Raw genomic sequence first — 3,582 nt, 5'->3', positions numbered from 1 at the left:
TCTTACTGTGACTAATGCATAAATTAAACTATCATAGGTATATATATACAGAAAACAACATTGTATATACAGGCATTGGTACTCTCCATGGTTTCAGGGATGCACAGATAAGACCCACCTCCACAGATAAGGTGGGTCTACTGTAATTTAATTTGAACTGGTTTAGACTTTTCTTTTCATTTTTTTATATTTCATTCTAAAATGAAAACAATGATAGTAGCAGTCTCATTCACTATACTGAGTCGATTATGTATATGTTACATATATTTCAATCATTTTTCTCACTTCCACCTTGTTCTTCTAAGTGAGTTTTCCAACATCTCTCTTCTCTTTATGCCCTTATGCCTGCTAATTATAAAAAACAACCTGTGTATCTTTGGGATACTGTAGTGGAATGAATAAAACAAGTTTATTTTAAACAGGCTATGATTAACAATAATATCTGATGATTTGAGCTAATACAACAAAAACACAGGTAAGAAAATTGAGAAAATATGTATATAAATTAAATACTACATCATTGTTCTATCATAAATATGATCTTATAAGTATTTCTATACCAAATTTCCAAAATTAGAAAATAAAATGTCAGTAATTTTAATGACATTTAGAAAAAAAATTACCCATTAACTCTACAAGAAAAAATAAAGTAGAGCAGAGAGAAGGGAAAACAAAATTATAGAAAATACAGGGAAATACTCAGAAAATAAAGAATATTTTTGTCAAGTTTTTGTATCTGCTTAAGAAAATAAACTGTTTTTCCACCAGATTATTTTAATAGGGGTGAGATGGAGTAGATTAGCAATAGATACAATAATAAACAGCATGCCATTTGTAGCAAGCTCATGTCATGAGAATGACCGTGAGGATATATGACTTGTTTCCTTAAGATATACTCAAATTATCTTTCCCAATCCCTTTAGTTGTAGCCAGCAAAAGACAATAGAATAAAAATCATATAGCAGAAATATTATTAAATAGCAGATGTATTAGTCTTCTCTCATGCTGCTAATAAAGACATACCTGAGACTGGGTAATTTATAAAGAAGAGAGGTTTAATTGACTCACATGGCTGGGGAGGCCTCACAATCATGGCAGAAGGCAAAAGAGGAGCAAAATCATGTCTGGAATAAGATTTAATGTTTGGTAGAACAATAGGGTGACTATAATTAACTATTTCATATTTCAAATTAGTTAGAAGGTTTAACACCCCAAAGATATGGTAAATGTTGGTAGTGATGTATACCCCATTTACAAGATTTGATAATTAAATATTGTATACTGTATCAAAATCTCACATGCACTTCATAAATATGCATAACTATTATGTATCCATAAAAATTAAAAACAACTTTAAAAATTGTTTTTAAAAATTAATCTTAATTAAATATTTAAAAATCCCTTCATTTTTGCATTTGCCTTTTCCATATAACATAACATAATCACAGGGTTGATATTCTATCAACTATGTTCTTCTATTTCTTAGAAGGGGAGAAGATTGCACACAGACATAAATAACAGAAGGCAGGGATCATGGGGCCTTCTTTAGGGTATGTCCACCAGACCAGCTCTGTGCCAAGCACCATGCTATCCTAGGATTAAAAATATATGAGTAAGATAATAAACATTTTTTCAAGTCTAACTTCTAGTTGGAGACATAGGCAAGCACATTTAAAGGTTAATAAAAATTTTACTGGTACCAATGATAGAAGGCATATGGATAGAAGGGTTCTATTCTAGCTGGATCATCAGGCAAGGGAACGTCTGTGCTGAATCTTGAAGTCTTGCTCATAAATAGGTAGGCAAGTTTTCTAGAACCAAGGAGTGAATGAAAAATGATTGAGATATGTGAATTGACATGTCCTTGTGTGTTAGGAGAATGCGAAACCATTTAATAATTTTTTTAACTTGTGTAGTGACTATCCTTGCATCTGTAAAATATTAGCACAGTGCACAAATCAGAGTGTGTAGGGGGTTTCCGTGTGTGTGTGTGTGTTGCGTGTTGTAAATGTGGTGCCCAGATCTCCACTTTAAGACTGAAATACTCCTTCCTCAGGCTGCCAGAATTTTTGCTTTCTGATGACTCATAGCTGAGTCACTCTGGAAATTCCATTTAGCCAAAGAGAGCAACCTTTCCCAAGGTTATGCCTCATTAGATGTGGCTGCAGCTCACATCTAATGACTGGATGACATGGCTACAAAGGCCCTTGCTTTAGTTCAACATATATCATCTGAATGGTTAAATGTGATAGAGTACCCTAAAAGACGGCTACAATTCCTTTCATGCTCTCTTACAATGTGGCTTCGTTTACCTCATCACTAACAGGTACCTTCTATTTTGCATCACATTGAATATGGGATGACCCGCGACAGGTTTTGACTAAAAATGTGGCAGAAATGATGTCCAGGCATTTCCAGAGATCAGACCTCAAGAGGCCTTGCAACTTATACCATCACTTCTGGTATTGCACTTAGTAAAATTATACTTATTTTACTCAAGACTCTGGTCTAGAAGTCTCTGTTCCAGAAGGGAAGTCATTATATCAGGGCATAGTAAGTTTCACATTAAACTGTAGGTTATGACAAACACCTGATCACTTTGTATTCCTTGTGCCAAGAGATCAGGAAGAACATTACAAGGAAGTAAAGCTGTTAATACCTACTGGGAACAGGGAAGTATACAATTGGCACTCAGATGATCCAGTGTAGTATCTCTTGGCACAGCCCTGAATACTTTTGAAGGTGAAGAAAAAGAGCATGAAGATCAGGGGTGTAGACTTCTTAGGGGTGGTGGAGTAAGCTACTATATGAGTAGATGCACTAATGGAAGGTGAGGGGAATCTAGAATGGGAACTATAGGAGGAAGATGTTGAATCTCATTTGCAGCTGCTGAAACTTTACTTCGCTCCACTGACTTTGATTGGCAAGTTTTTCTAAGATAAAATAAATCAGTACTTGGGAGGCTAAGGTAGGAGATCACTTGATCACAGGAGGTCAAAACTACAATGAGTGGTGATTGTGTCACTGCACTCCAGCCTGGCAACAGAGAGACACCCTGTCAAAAAAAAAAGAAGAAGAAGAAGAAGAAGAAGGAAAGAAAGAAAAGAAAAAAACAGAATTCTAGTGAAACTACTCCCAGTTTGCATAAATGTATTATATTAAGCAAGTCGATCAAAGATGTACAAAGCTTGGACTAAAGTGGATGCTGTGCTGTGTCACTCAGATCCTCTTTCAGTACTGAGGCCTTAATTCCCATGAGAGCTGAAAGTGGTAGCTGCTCCTCACTTGTGGTATACGGAACCTCAAAAATTTCCCAAAGGAAGCCAGCTATTTGCTCAAAGTCATCTCAATCAACCCCTCCTATGATAGTCAACATTCAAGTACTCATCAACAAGGGAGCCCAAAGCCCAGACCCCCTTGCCTCAATCTGGAGCATCTCTGAAGGCCATCCAGGTTTAGAATTTCTCTGAGTTCTGTCAAGATCGCTGCTGAAAATACACCACATTAGTTCAACTCCTCCCTCTACTCAATCCTGATTCTGTCACTCCTTTATAGACTTGTAGTTCTGAAATCCATCCCCAG

The 3,582-nt window shown here is 36.0% G+C and overlaps 1 annotated feature.

The window, feature by feature from the left end:
- Positions 1,473-2,672: an enhancer, noted in NCBI's record as "BRD4-independent group 4 enhancer chr10:58297350-58298549 (GRCh37/hg19 assembly coordinates)". NCBI's record gives its function as "activates an origin of replication core promoter dependent on BRD2, P300/CBP, MED14 and CDK7 cofactors, and independent of BRD4, by STARR-seq in HCT116 cells {active_cell/tissue: HCT116}" and the evidence as "EXISTENCE:reporter gene assay evidence [ECO:0000049][PMID:35650434]".

The sequence above is a fragment of the Homo sapiens genome, chromosome 10, assembly GCF_000001405.40.
Source record: "Homo sapiens chromosome 10, GRCh38.p14 Primary Assembly".
Lineage (NCBI taxonomy): Eukaryota > Metazoa > Chordata > Mammalia > Primates > Hominidae > Homo > Homo sapiens.
This window is presented reverse-complemented; position numbering and strand designations above follow the sequence as displayed.